The sequence below is a fragment of the Homo sapiens genome, chromosome 9 (genome assembly GCF_000001405.40).
Source record: "Homo sapiens chromosome 9, GRCh38.p14 Primary Assembly".
NCBI classification, from domain to species: Eukaryota; Metazoa; Chordata; class Mammalia; order Primates; family Hominidae; genus Homo; species Homo sapiens.
In genome coordinates this window covers 129825500-129843730 of record NC_000009.12, presented here as the reverse complement: position 1 = coordinate 129843730, position 18231 = coordinate 129825500, and the positions used below count along the sequence as shown (strand labels likewise).

The 18231-nt window shown below is 48.0% G+C and overlaps 2 protein-coding genes across 4 annotated transcripts in view, besides 6 other annotated features; one reads left to right on the top strand and one right to left on the bottom strand.

Annotated features, from left to right (window-relative positions):
- The window catches only part of USP20 (ubiquitin specific peptidase 20), a 46371-nt gene extending 38098 nt beyond the window's left edge, over positions 1 to 8273 (bottom strand). For 2 of the 3 annotated variants that reach the window (NM_006676.8, NM_001110303.4), the window contains exon 1: positions 8232 to 8273. The gene's annotated coding sequence lies outside the window, so the exon portion shown is untranslated. Of the gene's footprint in view, positions 1 to 8133 lie in introns of all 3 variants that reach the window. The other variant, NM_001008563.5, reaches the window with a different exon arrangement.
- Positions 3830 to 4330: an enhancer, noted in NCBI's record as "H3K4me1 hESC enhancer chr9:132601680-132602180 (GRCh37/hg19 assembly coordinates)". NCBI's record gives its function as "activates a minimal SCP1, AML or CMV promoter by ChIP-STARR-seq in primed H9 embryonic stem cells {active_cell/tissue: H9 hESC(primed)}" and the evidence as "EXISTENCE:reporter gene assay evidence [ECO:0000049][PMID:30033119]".
- Positions 7523 to 8023: an enhancer, noted in NCBI's record as "H3K27ac hESC enhancer chr9:132597987-132598487 (GRCh37/hg19 assembly coordinates)". NCBI's record gives its function as "activates a minimal SCP1, AML or CMV promoter by ChIP-STARR-seq in naive H9 embryonic stem cells {active_cell/tissue: H9 hESC(naive)}" and the evidence as "EXISTENCE:reporter gene assay evidence [ECO:0000049][PMID:30033119]".
- Positions 7523 to 8144: a biological region, named in NCBI's record as "H3K27ac hESC enhancer GRCh37_chr9:132597987-132598487".
- Positions 7995 to 8144: a silencer, noted in NCBI's record as "silent region_20392". NCBI's record gives its function as "represses an Ori minimal core promoter by ATAC-STARR-seq in GM12878 lymphoblastoid cells {active_cell/tissue: GM12878}" and the evidence as "EXISTENCE:reporter gene assay evidence [ECO:0000049][PMID:35858748]".
- Positions 8175 to 8524: a silencer, noted in NCBI's record as "silent region_20391". NCBI's record gives its function as "represses an Ori minimal core promoter by ATAC-STARR-seq in GM12878 lymphoblastoid cells {active_cell/tissue: GM12878}" and the evidence as "EXISTENCE:reporter gene assay evidence [ECO:0000049][PMID:35858748]".
- On the top strand, positions 8456 to 16441 carry C9orf78 (chromosome 9 open reading frame 78). Its single transcript, NM_016520.3, has 9 exons — positions 8456 to 8592; positions 8965 to 9024; positions 10022 to 10073; positions 10214 to 10284; positions 11758 to 11835; positions 12663 to 12860; positions 14190 to 14326; positions 14428 to 14526; positions 15479 to 16441. Exons 1-9 carry the CDS (start codon positions 8510 to 8512, stop codon positions 15568 to 15570), a joined length of 870 nt encoding a protein of 289 aa, NP_057604.1. The 5' UTR covers positions 8456 to 8509; the 3' UTR covers positions 15571 to 16441.
- Positions 15387 to 15681: a silencer, noted in NCBI's record as "tiled region #5710; HepG2 Repressive non-DNase unmatched - State 15:Elon". NCBI's record gives its function as "represses a minimal TATA promoter and a strong SV40 promoter by Sharpr-MPRA in HepG2 cells {active_cell/tissue: HepG2}" and the evidence as "EXISTENCE:reporter gene assay evidence [ECO:0000049][PMID:27701403]".

The following is an 18231-nucleotide window of genomic DNA, read 5'->3' as shown; positions in this document are numbered from 1 at the left end:
GTTTTCACTCTTGTTACCCAGGCTGGAGTGCAGTGGTGTGATCTCGGCTCACTGCAACCTCCACCTCCTGGGTTCAAGCAATTCTGCTGCCTCAGCCTCCCAAGTAGCTGGGATTACAAGCACACACCACCACGCCCAGCTAATCTTTTTGGATTTTTAGTAGAGATGAGGTTTCACCACATTGGTCAGGCTGGTCTTGAACTCCTGATCTCAGGTGATCCGCCTGCCTCAGCTTCTCAAGTGCTGGGATTACAGGCGTGAGTCACTGCGACCAGACTGTCTTTTTGTTGTTGTCGTGGTTGAGACAGAGTCTTAGTCTGTTGCCTAGGCTGGACTGCAGTGGCGTGATCTCTGCTCACTGCAACCTCCGCCTCCTGGGTTCAAGCGTTTCTCTTGCCTCAGCCTCTAGAGTAGCTGGGATTACAGGAATCCACCATCACACCCACATAATTTTTGTATTTTTAGTAGAGACGAGGTTTCACCACGTTGGCCAGGGTGGTCTCGAACTCCTGACCTCAAGTGATCTGTCCACTGCGGCCTCCCAAAGTGCTGGGAGTACAGGTGTACGCCACCATGCCCGGCCTACATCTTTGACCAAAAAAAAAAAAAAAAATTATTGGTCAAAATGTGTGCTTTGAAGGCTCTACATAGATATTGATAAGCTTCCCTTTAGAAACAGTATATACATTTATCTGCCTATCAGCAGTATATGAGTATGTGCAACATAAAAAGTTTAAGGTTTACTAACATTTTAAAAATTAATGGTTAAAAATCATTTCTATGAAGGAAAAAGGGCGGTAGTACAGAAAACACTGGGTGCTTAATATTCCACACAAAGGGCCAGGTGCGGTGGCTCACAGCTGTAATCCCAGCACTTTGGGAGGCTAAGGAGGGTGGATCACAAGGTCAGGAGTTCGAAACCAGCCTGACCAACATGGTGAAATCCCATCTCTACTAAAAATACAAAAAATTAGCCAGGTGTGGTGGCACATGCCTGTAAGCCCAGCTACTCAGGAGGCTGAGGCAGGAGAATCGCTTGAACCCAGGAGGCAGAGGTTGCAGTGAGCCGAGATCACGCCATTGCACTCCAGCCTGGGCAACAGAGTAAGACTCCGTCTAAAAAAAAAAAAAAAAACTTCCACACACAGGACCTAAAATATCGGAAGCATGGGGGTCGACAAGAGGGTGCATATCTCAGCTGTCTGAAAGTTATCATTTTGCTTCCTTTTGGTACCCAACCAACACTGACCATGTACCTCCTTAGGAACAGTGACTTGGGGTGCTGGGAAACAGCCAGGCATAGGCCCTGCTCTTGTAGTGTACAGAGTCCCATACTTCAACCTCAGGGTACTTGCAAGCAGACACTAGGGAGGTGATAATCACCACCAGCACCTCTGTTTCCTACACTCACTGAGGGTTAGCTGCTGCACATACATTATCCCGGGAGGTAACGGTCACTATGGAAGGAAATTACAGGGACAAGTAGCCCTGGGTTCAGTACCTCACTCTGCCCCTTGCAAGTCTGTGACTTTAGATAAATCGCTCAGTCTCCACATTCATAAAATGGGGACAATGACAGCACCTAGGGTTACTGAGAAGATGAAGTGAGCCAATGCACAGTAAACGCTAAGTTGAATGACTTAGGGCCTCATGGACTTTCTGGGTGGCTCAGATTTTTTATTGATTTGCATGACAAGAATGCTCAAAAAATGTTTACTACTATAATTTGTGTCACTGGCTGTTCTATACATTAGGACACTGAAATTGGTAGGAATAGAAGTCACATGCTCAAGGTCACTCAGAAGGGCACCCTCCATGAGACCACTCAGGGCTCTGCAGGCCAACCAGCCCAGCAACGAACAGGCGCCATGGTGATGGAGTCAGACACACCGCAGGGGACTCATGCACGGATTCTTGGTGCGCTTCCTGAGATCTAAGCTCACCTCCTGGTGCTTTTGACATCAAAGAAAAAGCCAGGAAAGGCAACTTCATGGACTAGAGCAAACCCTTCAACAGCTTCCCTGTCCTGGGGCAGCCTGCGCTTCTGAACCCCCATTCCTGCTGAGCACCTTTGCTTCCCTGCAACGTGAAGGTTCCCTTTCTCCACCAAGGCTGAGAAACTGTTCCAGGCAAGACACTGAGGAGACATAACAAAGCTGGATTGTGGGTCAATGTGGGGGGATGCCACAAAGAACATCCCCAGGACAACCAGCATGCCTGAGTGTGGACTGCCTGTTAGATCATAGTATTTGTTATGGACTGAATTGTTCTCTCTCCCCCATTCATATGCTGAAGTTCTAACCACCAGGACCTGAGAATGTAATCATATTTGAAGATAATGTCTTTAAAGAGGTAATTAAGTTAAAATAAGATCTTTAGGGCAGGCCCTAATCTAATCTTACTGGTATCTTTATGAGATGAGAAAATCCGGACTCACACAGAGGAAAGACCAAGCCAGGACACAGTGAGAAGATGGCCATCTGCAGGCCAAGGAAAGGGCCTTCAGAAGAACCAAACCTGTCGGCACCTTGATCTGAGACGTCTAGCCTCCAGAACTGTGAGAAAATAAATCTCTGTCGTTTAAGCCACCCAGTCTGTGGTACTTTGTTATGGCAGGTCTGGGAAACAAATACATGATTCCATCAATGTGAAAGTTTCTAGGCCGGGAGTGATGGCTCACGCCTGTAATCCCAGCACTTTGGGAGGTTGAGGCTGGCGGATCACCAGAGGTCAGCAGTTTGAGACAAACCTGGCCAACGTGGTGAAACCCCGTCTCTACTAAAAATACAAAAATTAGCCGGGCATGGTTGTGGGCACCTGTAGTCCCAGCTACTCGGGAGGCTGAGGTAGAAGAATCACTTGAACCTGGGAGGCGGAGGTTGCAGTGAGCTGAGATGGCGCCACTGCACTCCAGCCTGGGTGACAAGAGCAAGACCCTATCTCAAAAAAAAAAAAAAAAAAAAAGTTTCTAAAGGTGGAACTCACGCTTTGGTTATGTATGATAATATCCTTATTCTTAGTTAATTCCCGCTGGGATATTTAGGGGAAAAGGACTGTGATGTCTGCAGCTTACTCCTACCTGAATCAGCAATAATTATGACAATAACTATAGAGATTAGAGTTAGAGTAAATAAGGCAAATGTTACTAATTCGTGAATCTAGGTGAGGGGTATGTGGGAGTTCATTGTATTCTTGTAATTTTTCTTAAGTTTGACTTTTTAAAAAAATAGATTCCCTTTCTCACCTTTGAGGTGGGAGCAGGGAGCGGGTTTTCTGGAACAGGCAGCCCCATCGCAGGATCCAGGACCCAGCACCCACTGAGCCTCCAGACCTGGTACCCAGGGCTTTGTTCACCCACTCTCTAGGGCAAGGGCGGCTGTTTCTCATCTCACAGAGGAGGAATGGAAGGTCCCAGACAGGAAGCAACACAGCAGGAAGCGAGCAGGTTGTGTCTGCTTTCCCCACTCTTTCCGTCCCACCTGTGCCTCTGTGCAAATATATGGAGTGTGCACAGCAGGCATTTCATAAAGGCCAAAAGGGAAAGACACCTGTGCAGCTGAAAGAACGTGCTTCCAGGTGCAGCCACGCAGAGTAGGACCTACTGTACAACAAGTCAGCAAGGTGCAGCGTGTGCCCCGCCCTCCCGGCCCACCAGAGCCTCCTCTCTTGGGGCAGGAGAGCACAGGATGGGGGGAGGAAGGCCTGAGACTTTTGGCAAAGAGCCCACCATTGCTGGCCCCAGGAGACCTCCAAGATGCTTCAGGCTCATAAAGGCAGCTTTCCTTCCCTGGGCCTCCAGGGTGGGGGAAAGTGCCACTCCACCCACAGGGGCAAAGTGGAGGGGCAAGGCCTGAGGAAGGGCAGGGGAGGGACCAGCCAGCACAGCCTGTGGTCCTAGGTAGGCAGCACATCTGGACCTGGCTGCCTCTGGTGCCTGTTACTCATTGTTTTCCCAGAGGTTCTGGCTACATCCTCCTCCTCCCAGCGAGGAACCAGTCCCTCAGGATGGGGAGGGCGACACTTCTGGGCCTCCCACCCACACAACGATGCCCACAGCCCTGCCCACGCTGACCCCAACCACATTAGCCATCTCACACCCCCAGCCCCGCACAGGGTGTGTGCCCACCCCCTCCACAGTCCCCTCTGGCCCTCGCACACCCTTTCTCTCCCTCCTGCTGTCTTTACTCTACCTCCACACAACAGCATTCTCCCTAAGTCCCAGACACACCCACCCCTTCCCTTAACCCAGTCCTCACTCGGAGGCCACCATCCTCTGACTCTCGAAGCAGAGCCCTCAGGCCTCCCCATGCCTCCACACTTCCACAGTCTCTGCTGCCCACACACTTCTGTGTCTCCTCATCGCCCTTCCCCCTGCCCCACGGCCCTGAATATTGGAACTGACACTAACATCTTAGTCTGGTGTTCTCACATGTGACCTCACTGGACCCTCACAACCACCCTGGGAGGTGGCAAGGTTCCAAACTAAATCCATCTCCATCACTAACAATGGAGACACCGAGGCTCAGAGAAGTGGAATAACTGGCTAAGGTCACACAGCTACTGAGCTGCAGAACCAAAATTCGAACCCACGACTACCTGCCCTGAAGCCCATGCTCTGAACACTCAGCTCCACGATGTCACAAACAGCCCCGGCCAGCCTGGCATGGGGACGACCTTCACCTCCCCAAATCCAAACACGCGTACTCCAAGGAAGCTTCCTCACAAGAGCCTCTTCTGAGTCATTCTTCAGAGCATTTTTCTGCTCAGCTTAACTTCCTTCAGTCTAGGATATGACAGTATCTCCCTGCAGCTCAAAGCCTGCTACTACCCTTTGCTCTGAGCTCTGTCCGGAAGAGTCCCTTAATTGGAGAAGGCGTGGGTTTGGGGCTACCCTAGGCTGCAGCCAGTCACTGGCCCAGGTCATTAAAAGCCTCACACTCAGTGGTGAGTAAGCATGAGCAGAAACTCAGTCTCGAAGCTCAGACTAGAAACCTTAGAAAAAACTCACATTAGAGATGCGGAAACTAAGAACTAGGAAAATCATGATTTCTGGGGCCTGAAATCAGATCCTCTCTTTTCAGGCAGCATGATCTGCAGCTGCCTTCCCCCATGCAATCTCAGAGTTTAAAGGGGTTTAGAAACCATGCATCTTCCCCTTAAGGCACAACTCTGCTCTGTAAAAGCCATACTGGGTTGTTCTCCAAACCCAGTTTGAGCAGTCGTTGATGATAAAATCACCCTTTTCCCAGAGGGCAGCTCTAGTTGCTACAAACCTAAGTCTTTATAATCAATGGAAATTGGCTCTCCTGAAATTTCTATTTATTGAGCCATGACTGCTCACTGGAGCCAAAGAGCACTGCCACTTTCCTGCCTTTAAATATTTGTTGTTAGCCGGGCACAGTGGCTCACACCTGTAATCCCAGCACTTTGGGAGGCTGAGGCGGGCGGATCACTCAAGGTTAGGAATTTGAGACCAGCCTGGCCAACATGGTGAAACCCCGTCTCTACTAAAAATACATAAATTAGCCAGGTGTGGTGGTGGGCGCCTGTAATCCCAGCTACTCAGGAGTCTGAGGCAGGAGAATCACTTGAACCTGGGAGGCGGAGGTTGGAGTGAGCCAAGATCGCACCACTGCACTCCAGCCTAGGCAACTGAGTGAGACTCCGTCTCAAAAAAAAAAAAAAAAATTGTTGTCAACGTGCATGGCTTCTCCAAGTTTCCTCCTTCATGCTAATGAGAACCAGTTGGATACTGTTTGTCTTGCTAAGGTAAAAGGCTAAGAACAGCCTGGCTCTTTCATCACTGTTAAATACCCCACAATCAGGACTTGAGTTCAGGGTGTACACTCTAAATAAAAGCTTTTGTAAAATAAAGTTCAAGCTTACAGACCCCTAAAACCACCAGGCAGTGACTGGAACCCAAGGCCTATCATTCAATCCACTGCTTTATCTGTCATGTTTCCAACCAAATCCCAAACCAGAATGCGCTAATTTTAATTTGCAACTCAACCTTGCCACCCTCCCGGAGGTGATTCCCTTGTTTTGCTCTATTTGTTTCTTTTCCACAGCACTTACCATCTTCTAACACACTTTACATACTTTACTGTGAGAACATACACTCAACTAATCAGGGATCTTTTGTCTCTTTTGCTGACTTATTTCAAGCACTTAGAACAGTGCCTGCTCATATAGTAAATGCTAAGAATCTGTTGAATACATTGATCCAATAAATACATTTATTGGATGCCGACTATAGCTGGGCTGTGAACTGTATCACGTTGCTGGATCCCAAATCCAATCGGACATGAATGCTCCCTGAACCCTGAAACAAGCCAACATTTCATCTGGCTCCAGAAAGGAGCTAGGAAACCAACCAAAACCTAGGTTGAATCTGTACATTTTCTTAAAACAACTGAACTCCCAAACAAGACTAAGACCTTGGATTCATCTTTGAACTGCATAGAACCTGTATTTCTCGGAGGGTCCTTTTGAGAGACAGTCTCATCCTACGCTTAAAAGGGCCCAGTGAGACTTGGGCTGCAGTCTCTTGGCAAAGCCACTTACTGCCAGATTCATAGCTGCCACTTTTTCAGCATTCCTTTTGCTAAAGAGCACTCAATTAGATCTGCCACAGCACAGGTGGTGGTTATCACTGGGTCCTCTGGCCTCATGGAGCAAGGGTGGGAGCAGCTCATCTGTACCCTGGGACTTCAGCTGAGGAGGAGGGTCCAGAAATGCCCCTGGCCTTCTTGCCCTTTCCTTAGTAGTGTCCAGTACCCCCTGGTGGATGGGCTGCTTGATGGGCAGATTCAGAGCCACCTCTGAGAGCGTGAGAGCTGCAGACGTTGACCCCCTGGACTCCTGCAGCAATTCCCAAGGAGCCTCTCCATCATCTGACAGGGACTCCGTATCCAGTGAGTGCACGTGCATCTGGGTTTGGCTGAACCAGTCTGCAGAGGGCAAGACTTTGAGACTTTAATATATGGCTTTTGACCAAAGATAAAACGCTGGTGCAAGAAGTCCCGAGTCTACTATTTTTTCCAGCCCAAGGAAGAGAAGAACAATCTCAGTGGAGACTGTTCCAGAGAAAACGTAAGGCATTCTAGAAATGCTGCCCTGCTTCGGAATGGTCTTCCAGAAAGGGGAACCCCAGACAGCCCCCATCGGCCCCTCCCCCTAGCCAATGAGATGTAACAGCAGCTGCAGCAGCAGCAAACATCTACTGCACTCCTACCGTGCCAGGCCCTGTGCAAACCGTGCGGCAGAGACTGACCTGCAACCAATTCCTGTTCCACCTCCTAGCTGGGTAACTTGAGGCGTGCACTGCCCCTCGGAGACTCCGCATTCTCATTTGTAAAACGAAAAACAATCTACCTCAAAGGATTGCTGGGAGAATTCAATGAGATGATGCTTTGCCCAGGGCCTGCCACATAGTAACTGCTTAATAAGAGGTAGTTCTCAAAGTAAGGGATGACACTGAGAAAAGGAAAACTACTGTTACTTAAGGGGTTCTTAAAAGTCCTAGAAGCCATTATTTATGCATTTAGGTATTTCCTAAGCGTTTGCTGATACCAGTTTTTCAAATAAACTTTATCCTCACAGCATCTTCGGGGTGGAAGGGGCAGAGGGTAGAGCGACAGACCTGCCGAAGGAGGAAAACCAGACCCGTGAAGGTCCAGGGGGGTGGCCGGCAAGCACCGAGGAGGAGTCCCCCGGCTCAAACCCTCTTGCGTGGCTTCAAAACATCAGACGCGCCTCTCCTCGCGGAGAAGCTGGGGGCCATTATTTGTGAGGCAGTCGGCGCTGGGACTCTAAGTCAGCACCGCAGAGAAGTGGTCATCTTTTGTTCCGAAAGAAAAAAACGCACGTCAGGGCTCAGAGCCCGAGGAAAGAAAAGTCAGCGCCCGAGACGCGAGACGCCACGCGGATGCTTTCAACGCTAGGTCAGGCCCCGGCAGAAATGAGAGGGGGGCGGCCCCGGTTCTGGAGAAGCCACGAGCCCCCAGGGAGCTCAGAGTGGGGTGGTGCTGGGGCCCAGAGGCCCCCCTGGGCGCCGACCGGAGGAGGGGAGAGGGGCGGCGGCGGCCGGGGGGGTCCCGGGCTCCGCTCACCGGGCCGCTGCGTCTGGCGTACCTGGCGAAGCCAGGCCCTGTCAGCCCGGAGCCGGGCTGGGGTCGCCAATGCTCAGAGGCCCGGCCCACAGAAGCAGCCGGTGGCGGCCCGGAACTCACCTGCACTCGCAACTGCGCCGCCGCCGCCTGTCAGTCAAGCGCGCCCCCTCTGAGGCGACGCGCAGGGTTGTGGGGCCGTCTGGCGACGCCCCACCTCCTTCCCTCTGCCGTCCAATCGGAAGAGGCTGACGCCAGGAGAGGGGGCGTGGCCACGCGGACTGTGCGTGCCGGGGGCGGGGCCAGACGGGGCAGGCGCTCTGACCGCTCTGCCGCGCGCCGGAAGCAGCCTGGGCCGCTGCGCAGAGGCGCGGCGGCTGTACAACTCGGCCGTTGTCACCATGCCGGTCGTCCGGAAGATTTTCCGTCGCCGCCGGGGCGACTCGGAGTCAGAGGAAGATGAGCAGGACTCAGAGGAGGTTCGGTGCGTTTGGGGCGGGGCTCCCATAGGCTTGGTAAAGATAGACTTGTTTGGGGGACTCACCACCGGCTCGGCGCTTCGCTGACATTGTTAACTGTGAGCTCGGGTGGTGGTTCCTTCTGCGGACGCAGAAATTGAGGCTCAAGGGGTGAGGCCACCGCCCCAAGCTCGAACGGTTGAGAGAGATGCCTCCGGGATGCGCAGTGGCTCTGACTCCCGGTGGGTCTAGGCACAAGGTCGTCCTCTGGACCACTGTGCTGGTGGCTCAGTAGCTGGGCTGGGATGCCCTCGAAGGTGCCTTATTGGCTCTGTTAGCTTTGGATTCCGCGGGGAATCACTCAGCTTATGCATTGCTGCTTCTTCTTCTTTTTAAAGATTAAAACTGGAAGAGACCAGAGAGGTACAGAACTTGAGGAAGAGGCCCAACGGGGTGAGGTGGGTACCACGCGGGGAGGAGGAGGAGGCGGCGGGGACGACAGACACATCCGCGTCCGGGTCGCTGTCACAAATATCTCCTCAGACGTAGATTTTTCTCTTGACACACTGTACACCTTCCACTGCCCAACTTGGAGAACAGCGTTCTTTGCAAATGTTTAACCAGGACATGCCCTGAGCTGTGTCGTCTCGGGGTGTGCTCCAGAGATACAGAAACAGATCACTAACTCGCGTTTTTTATTAAAACCAATTAATTGTGAAATGCATATCGATCGTTAAGAGTTTGTATAATTTAGAAAAGTATAGTCAAGACGATAAAAAGCACCCATAATTCTCCCATCCGGAAATGATCAGTGTTAACATTTTTTTTCCTTGCAGAGCCACCCAAGAATGCACTGGTATTAATATTGAATACTCTTTCCAATCTGTTTTTTTTCGTCTCTCTCTCTCAGATTGTGAACAACTTTCTATGTACTTTTATTCCCTGTTCTTTTCAACTCATTATGACATTGTGGGCATTCACCCATATTGTGGAATATTTTTCAGAAAGCCTTAATGGCTGCATAATATTCCACCAGATGTGTGTATTGTAATTTGTTAACAAATCCCCTATTTTGGGACATGTAGGTGATTTTGTAAATTTTTACTATCAAATAAGGCTGCAGTGGATATTCTCTTAAATTTATCTTTAGCTGCACTTTCCATGATGAGAATATCTTAGAAATGAGATTTCCAGGCCAAGATAATGCCAAATGGCTTTACAGGAAAGTGGCAAAGTGTACCACTTCACCACCAGCGCACCCTTCTTCCAGCATCTGCGGTGCTCGTTGAGCCCTGTCTTATGCTTATAGGCTTTTCCAGCCGGCTTGCCTACCCACCCCTCAAATCCCACCCTTGCACTAATGTTGCAATCCGCATACCTGAGAGGGTTCCTCCTTATCTCTGAATTATGCCATTTCTCTCTCTCCCCCTCTCTTTTTTTTTTGGTTTTGCTCAGTGCTGTGGCCTTGCTGGTGGGAGAGAAGGTACAAGAGGAGACCACTCTAGTGGTAAGTTATGGGGTCTTCCCTGAGTAGTTATGGCAGCCCTCCCTGCAGTGCTCTTCAGTGAGTGAGCGTGCTTCACAAAAAAAAAAATTCCACTACCATGTATTTAGATGCTTCCTCTTAACTGTGTTTGCTTTCTGCAGGATGATCCCTTTCAGATGAAGACAGGTGGTATGGTGGATATGAAGAAACTGAAGGAAAGGGGCAAAGATAAGTAAGTTCAGGACAAGCTTAGATGCAAATTCACCTTTAGCGGCTGCCTGGGTCTAGGTTCCCTCAGAGAGCTGGGGCCTGTAGCAGCAGCATTAGTAGGACATCTTGAAGCAGGTTTTGTGCTTTGCAAAGGGTGTGTTATTTAAAAACAAAGAAAGCAAAAAGTCTTTAAAAGTTAACTTAGAGCCAAGTTGGTAGACTCCTTTTGTAAGAGTGTATTGTAGGCGTGATGACTCATGCCTATAATCCCAACACTTTGGGAGGCTGAGGTTAGCTTGAGTCCAGGAGTTTAAGACCAGCCTGGGCAACATAGTGAGACCCCTGTCTCTACAAAAAAAAAAAAAAGTGTGTATGTATACACACACACACACACACACACATATGTACACACATATACACATATGTATATACACACATGTATATACACATATACACACACACACACACACATATATATATATACACACACGCATATATATATGTGTGTGTATATATCTGGGTGTGGTGGCATGTGCCTGTAGTCCCAGCTATTCAGGAAATTAAAGTGGGAGAATCACTTGAGTCAGGGAGGTTGAGGCTAGAGTGAGCCGCGATCACACCACTGCACTCCAGCCTGGGTGACAGAGAAAGACCCTGTCTCAAAAAAATAAAATAAGTGAACCTATGGGGAAGTTTCATATAAAAACAATTAACAAAAATAATAAATTCAGGCCAGCTGCGGTGGCTCATGCCTGTAATGCCAGCACTTCAGGAGGCTGAGGCAGGCGGATTACCTGAGGTCAGGAGTTCGAGACCAGCCTGACCAACATGGTGAAACACTGTCGCTATTAAAAATACAAAAGTTAGCCGGGCATTGTGGTGGGCACCCGTAATCCCAGCTACTCAGGAGGGTGAGGCAGGAGAATTGCTTGAACTCGGGAGGCAGAGGTTGCAGTGAGCTGAGATTGCGCCACTGCACTTCAGCCTGGGTGACAGAGTGAGACTCCGTCTCAATAAATTAATAAATCAAACATTCAAATAATTCAAAAATTAAAAAAATAAAAGTTTACTGTGTACTTTTGTGACAACTATATAGCATTTACATTGTATTTGGTATTATAAGTAATCTAGAGATGATTTAAAGCAGATGGTAGTGTGTGTGTAGGTTAGATGCAGATATTATACTATTTTATGTAAGGGACTTCACTATCTGCAGATTTTGGTATCCTTGAGGGACACTAGAACCAATCCCCCATGGATACCTAAGGATAAGTGTATCCACTCAATCCTTGGAGGTATCACTAGCAGCCAACAGTTTGCTTGCATATATTTCTAGAGTTTCTTTTCTTTACATATACTACGGCATTTTTTTTTTTTTGCCAACTGTAAATAGGATATTATAAATGCTTATGTCTTTGTTTTCTTCTTAGAACATAAAACTCAGCCTCATTGAGTTGTGACTTGAAAGCTCTGCCTCATTGTTCTCTCCCTCCAGGATCAGTGAGGAGGAGGACCTGCACCTGGGGACATCGTTTTCTGCAGAAACCAACCGAAGGGATGAGGATGCAGACATGTAAGTGTCAGTCTGTTTGGCTGTGAGCAGTTGGGGCTGGACTCCAGTCAGAGTCCAAGATATTTAGTCAACAGATGACATTTCTAGAATTTTCTAGAAGATGTCAAAGTTGGCCCCTCTCTTTCTACTTCCCAGCTTAAGAACTTTGAAAACCTCTTAAAAGGTCTTTTCAGGCCGGGCACGGTAGCTCTCACCTGTAGTCCCAGCACTTTGGGAGGCCGAGGCAGGTGGATCATCTGAGGTGGGGAGTTCGAGACCAGACTGACCAACATGGAGAAACCCCGTCCCTACTGAAAATACAAAATTAGCTGGGTGTGGTAGTGGGCACCTGTAATCCCAGCTACTCGGGAGGCTGAGGCAGGAGAATTGCTTGAACCTGGGAGGCAGAGCTTGCGGCGAGCCAAGATCTCGCCATTGCACTCCAGCCTGGGCAACAAGAGTGAAACTCCGTCTCCAAAATATAAAAAATAAAAACTTGTTTTCAAAGGTGGTTTCATGACTAGTAATATTTCCCCAAAACATTGCAGGGATAAAACATGGGCTTGCCCACTTTTTATTTTGCCAACAAAGCTATTGGCAAACTATCATCTTTCTGTCTTCAAAGAACCTTGTACATCATAACACCAATAGATTAGTGGGACATAACCTCATAGGTTGGTGCTTCTTTAGAAAATTTCTAACTTGATGAAAAAACTCAAGTTATTTTTTTTCTCGTTTCTCCATGGACTGTCACTGGTCTGCGGGCCAGTGTTGGGGACCACTGATTTAGAGGACACCTGGTGTGTGTTTCCCACCCCTCCCTGAGGCCTCTGGGTTTCTCACTTCAGGATGAAGTACATTGAGACAGAGCTAAAGAAGAGGAAAGGGATCGTGGAACATGAGGAACAGAAAGTTAAGCCAAAGAATGCAGAGGACTGTCTTTATGAACTTCCAGAAAACATCCGTGTTTCCTCAGCAAAGAAGACCGAGGAGATGCTTTCCAACCAGATGCTGAGTGGCATTCCTGAGGTGGACCTGGGCATCGAGTATGTTTGAGACCCCTAGGCAGAAGACACAGTGCTTTCCAGTTAAAAGTTATGGGGGACAGGCCAGGCACGGTGGCTCATGCCTGTAATCCTAGCACTTTGGGAGGCTGAGGCGGGTGGATCACGAGGTCAGGAGTTCAAGACCAGCCCGGCCAAGATGGTCGAACCCCGTCTCTACTAAAAATACAAAAATTAGCTGGGCATGGTGGCAGGCACCTGTAGTCCAGCTACTTGGGAGGCTGAGGCAGGAAATTGCTTGAACCCTGAAGGTGGAGGTTGCAGTGAGGCGAGATCATGCCACTGCACTCCAGTCTGGCGACAGAGCAAGACTCCATCTCAAAAAAAAAGGAAAAAAAAATTTATGGGGGACAGGTATGGTGGCTGATGCCTATAAGCCTATAATCCCAGTACTTGGGAGGCCAAGGCAGGAGGATCACGTGAGGCCAGGAGATCAGCCTGAGAAATATAGTCAGACTCCTGTCTCTCAAAAAAATTTAAAAAATTAGCTGGGCTGTCACTTGAGCTCAGGAGTTGAGGCTACAGTGAGCCATGATTGCACCACTGCACACCAGTCTGGGTGACAGAGTAAGACCCTTTAAAAAAAAAAAAAAAAGGCCAGACATGGTGACTTGTGCCTGTTATCCTAGCTCTTTGGGAGGCCAAGGTGGGAGGATCACTTGAGCCCAGGAGTTCAAGACCAGCCTGGGCAATGTAATGAGACCCCATGTTCTTATCTGTGTCCTTAGAATCCTACAAATACAAATGAGATTGTCCCTGGCAGGTTGTTGCTAGAAGTTTCGCTGAAGGCTTGATCAGAGTAGTAAGGGCCCCTGACTGCTGGAAGCAAAAGTGGTTCTTTAGCGTGTTACAGCTGTTCAGCTGTATCAGGCCCTTTATTCTTCTGTTTTCTTCTAGCAGGAGCCATGTTAAAGGCTCACTCACCCCTTCTCCCCATGATCCTTCTTAAAATATCCACTTTAAAAGGGAATTGTTATGGAAGAGGTACAATTGTTAGAATAATCTTCTGGTACAGTAGAAAGCTGGGAGGCTTCTGGGCTCTTTTCTGGCCTTTACAAACTTTGAGCCTTAAGCATTTTACTTCTCTGAAGCTCAATTTGCTCTTGATCAGAAGAGCAGAGTAACTGTGGTTCTCCGACAGCCGTGAGAGTCCCGTGAGAATGTGACTACAAGTGTGCTTGATAAAGTGGAGAGCTGTGCCCCAGGACACATGATTTTCTTATGTACTGCTGGGCTGCCAGCCTCACCACTCATGTCTGAGTAGTAAGGTGCTATCATCTTCTAAGTGGTGTGGTTTCTTTCTCTCCATAGTGCTAAAATAAAAAATATCATTTCCACGGAGGATGCCAAGGCCCGTCTGCTGGCAGAGCAGCAGAACAAGAAGAAAGACAGCGAGACCTCCTTCGTGCCTACCAACATGGCTGTGAATTATGTGCAGCACAACAGATGTAAGCCCCTCGGAGAGCAGTCTTGCCCCCATTCCCCTATTTGGGCTGAGATCCCTAGGAACCTCATGTTCTAACGTGTCCCCTGGTCTCTTTGGGTCCAGTTTATCATGAGGAGCTCAACGCGCCCATACGGAGAAACAAAGAAGAGCCCAAGGCCCGGCCCTTGAGAGTAGGTGACACGGAGAAGCCAGAGCCTGAGCGTGAGTGCAACAAAGGCCTCGGGGCTGCCTGGAGTGCTCAGCAATGTGGGAACCCATGGAGGCAGGATGCAGCGGGGGACAGGGTGGAGCCTGGCATTGGAGCCGGGGCATATGGGTTCCAGTCCATGCTCTGGACCATGACTATGTGCCTTCCCCTTTCTAAGCCTCAGTTTCCTCATTGGAATCCTAATAGAACCTACCTGTTAGGATTACTCTGAGAATTCATACTCTCTCATATTCTCACGCACAGTAGAGACTCAAGAAGTTAGAAAATTTCAGTAAGGACAAATAAAAGCTACTCATAAGGTTAGCTGGGTGCAGTGCCTCACACTTGTAGTCTCAGCTGCTGGGGAAGCTGGGACAGGAGGATTGCTTGAGACTAAGAGTTCAAGGCTGCAGTGAGCTATGATTGGACCACTGCACTCTAGCCTGCGTGACAGAGTGAGACCACATCTTTTTTTTAAAGAAAAGAAAAAGGTATTGGCCATGCTCGGTGGCCCATGCCTGTAATCCCAGCACTTTGGGAGGCAGAGGCAGGCAGATCACCTAAGGTCAGGAGTTCAAGACGAGCCTGGCCAACATGGTGAACCCCGTCTCTACTAAAAATACAAAAATTAGCCAGGTGAGGTGGCAGGTGCCTGTAATCCCAGCTACTCAGGAGGCTGAGGCAGGAGAATCACTTGAACTCGGGAGTTGGAGGTTGCAGTGAGCTGAGATCATGCCATTACACTCTAGCCTGGGCAACAGGGTGAGACTCCATCTCAAAAAAAAGAAAAGAAAAGAAAAAAAAAAAGACAAATACGTATCTACTGAGGCCCTACTGTGTTCACTGGGTTAGGCGCTGGGGCTCCTGTGGGGAAGGAAACAGGCAGTTGTCTTTGCCTGCATGGAGTAAAGTCTAGCAGTGGGTTCCAGCATGGCAAACCACCTTTCCTGTTCTTTTCCTTCTCAGGGTCCCCTCCTAACCGCAAGCGTCCTGCTAACGAGAAGGCAACTGATGACTATCATTATGAGAAGTTCAAGAAAATGAATAGGCGGTACTGAGTTGTGCAGAGTGGGATGTAAATATCGCCTTCCTCTCCCTATATCCCTCCCATGAAAAATGGCTTCCTGGCCGGGCGTGGTGGCTCCTGCCTGTAATCCCAGCACTTTGGGAGGCCGAGGTGGGCGGATCACCTGAGGTCGGGAGTTTGAGACCAGCCTGACCAACATGGAGAAACCCAGTCTCTACTGAAAATACAGAAAAGTTAGCCAGGCGTGGTGGCACATGCCTGTAATCCCAGCTGCTCAGGAGGCTGAGGCAGGAGAATTGCTTGAACCCAAGAGGCGGAGGTTGTGGTGAGCCGAGATTGCACCTTTGTACTCCAGCCTGGGCAACGAGCAAAAAACTCTGTCTCAAAAAAAAAAAAAAAAAAAAAAAAGAAAAAGAAAAATGGCTTCCAGGACAGAGCATGCTCATTTGCTGGCGGACAGTTCCAGAAACAGACCCTGTTAGTCCTTCTACTTACCTGCTGGATTTTTCAAGCACTAAATTTATAACTTTTTGAAACAAAATAATGTGTAATTTTCCATTTGGGGGCAAACTCTATTCTTGTGAGCATTATTAAATCTTGTTTGTAAATATATTGTCTTTCTCTTAATATTTGCTCTGGGTCAGGAAGAAGCTGTTCACGGTGTGATAATACTCTTTAGATTGTGCTTTCATTATTATAGATGCATCATGTCTTCTGCTTTCACGTGTCTGGGATGGGGTCAGAAATGCATCCTCCAGCTGACAGAAAAATCCAGGATGAGATCAGAAGGATACTGGTGTTTTCTGACTTTTACAAAATTACTTGTTTGTTTTCATTAAAAAAAAAGCATAAACTATGTTTCTTATTACTATTAGAATTATTAAATTTCAAAATGAATCCAACCTTATTGTTTGTATTATGTTTCTTATACCAGCATCAGGTAATGTTTTTAAAGCCCATGGTTTGGGTAGCCTAAATGTAAAACTGAATTACTGAGATGGATTTTCTCATTTATTTCAAACAGTGAGCTATGATTGGACCACTGCAGCATAGACATGCTGCAACCTGCTGTCAAGTACCTTCTTACCTGTGCCCTCATTTTTCCTGAGGCATCCACAGGGGTCCAAAAGAGGAAAGAGCAGATTGGCTGACTTCTGGGTGGATTTAGAGCAGGTATTGTGGTTACAGTGGTTTGGCCCAGGAGTCAGATCTGAGCCCACCTCGCAGCTTACTACTTGTGTCCTTGGACAGATCCTTTTCACTCTTAGCCTCAGTTTTCTCATCTGTAAAATGGAGATTTTTTTTTTTCCTCCACTTGAATATGGTCAGTGAAGGCAGGAACCATGTGTGCCTAATTTTTAAATTTGAATCCCCAGGGCATAGCCCATAATCTGACAGATAGGCAGTCCTCAAAACTATGAATGATCCCTATAGTGTTTGGCTTGTAACAGGTGCACAAAAGTATTTTAAATCCAATACGAAAAAGTCGAAACTTAAAAAATATTTTCAGGATATTTCAACAAACATTTACAGGTCCCAGCGATGTGCAGGGGTAACCCAAGATGAATACTAAAGGCCTAGCACATCTGGCACACAGCAACGCAACACGTGTTTATGGGATGAACAGGCAAATAAGTGGATGGTCAACAGTTCTCACTTGCCAGAGTTCCCTTTGCTAGAAAATGAGTAATCTTTTATCCAGCTTAAAAGTGGCTGCCAGATGGAGGGAGCTGGTTCTCTCACTGTTGGGGTGGGAATTCACAGATAAACAAGGGGAGGAGGCTCCAATGATCTGTGTAATGGATTAGAGTTGGAGATGTCAGCACGAGCTCATGTTTAGCTTAATATAGGTACAGATGTTTACCTATAAAAATATTTATAGATATGTGTGTGTTTAACAGTATATACACACATTTTTTTCTGTCAGCTGAGACTGAAAGAAATGACATCTCAATAGCAAGAAGCACACCTAGCACCCAGACCTTGGTTTCTCTTTTTTTTTTTTTTTTTTTTTTTTGATACGAAGTCTCGCTCTGTCACCCAGGCTGGAGTGCAGTGGTGCGATCTCGGCTCACTGCAACCTCCACCTCCCAAGTTCAAGGAATTCTCCTGTTTCAGCCTCCCATGTAGCTGAGACTACAGGCACACGCAACCATGCCTAGCTAATTTTTTTGTATTTTCAGTAGAGATGGGGTTTCACCATATTGGTCAGGCTGGTCCCAAACTCCTGACCTCAGGTGATGCACCTGCCTCAGCCTCCCAAAATGCTGGATTACAGGCATGAGCCACCATGCCCAGCCAGTTTCTAATGCCATTTTACAATGAAAGGAATCAGGGTTCCTCGTAGAAAATAGGATTCTAGGACTGGGGCAGGAAATACAAGATGAGCCCGGAGTATCCTGTAGTGTCAGAAAGGAAAGAGGCACTCAAACCCAAATAAGCTGGTATATACACTGGGTGTATGTCAAAGGAGCACAAGGAACCACTCAAATTCCCAGTGGCCAAAATGAGAACAATTTGAAAAAAAAATTAGTACTGTAGTATAACAAAGGATAAAATAACAATGGTCCACACTGATATAAATGATTGAATACATGGGGGAGAAGAAACAAATCTCCCATGCAGAATTCCAAATAATTTCTGTAGATACTCTGCCCCCAAGGAGGTGGAGCAAAATCCCCGACTCCTTACG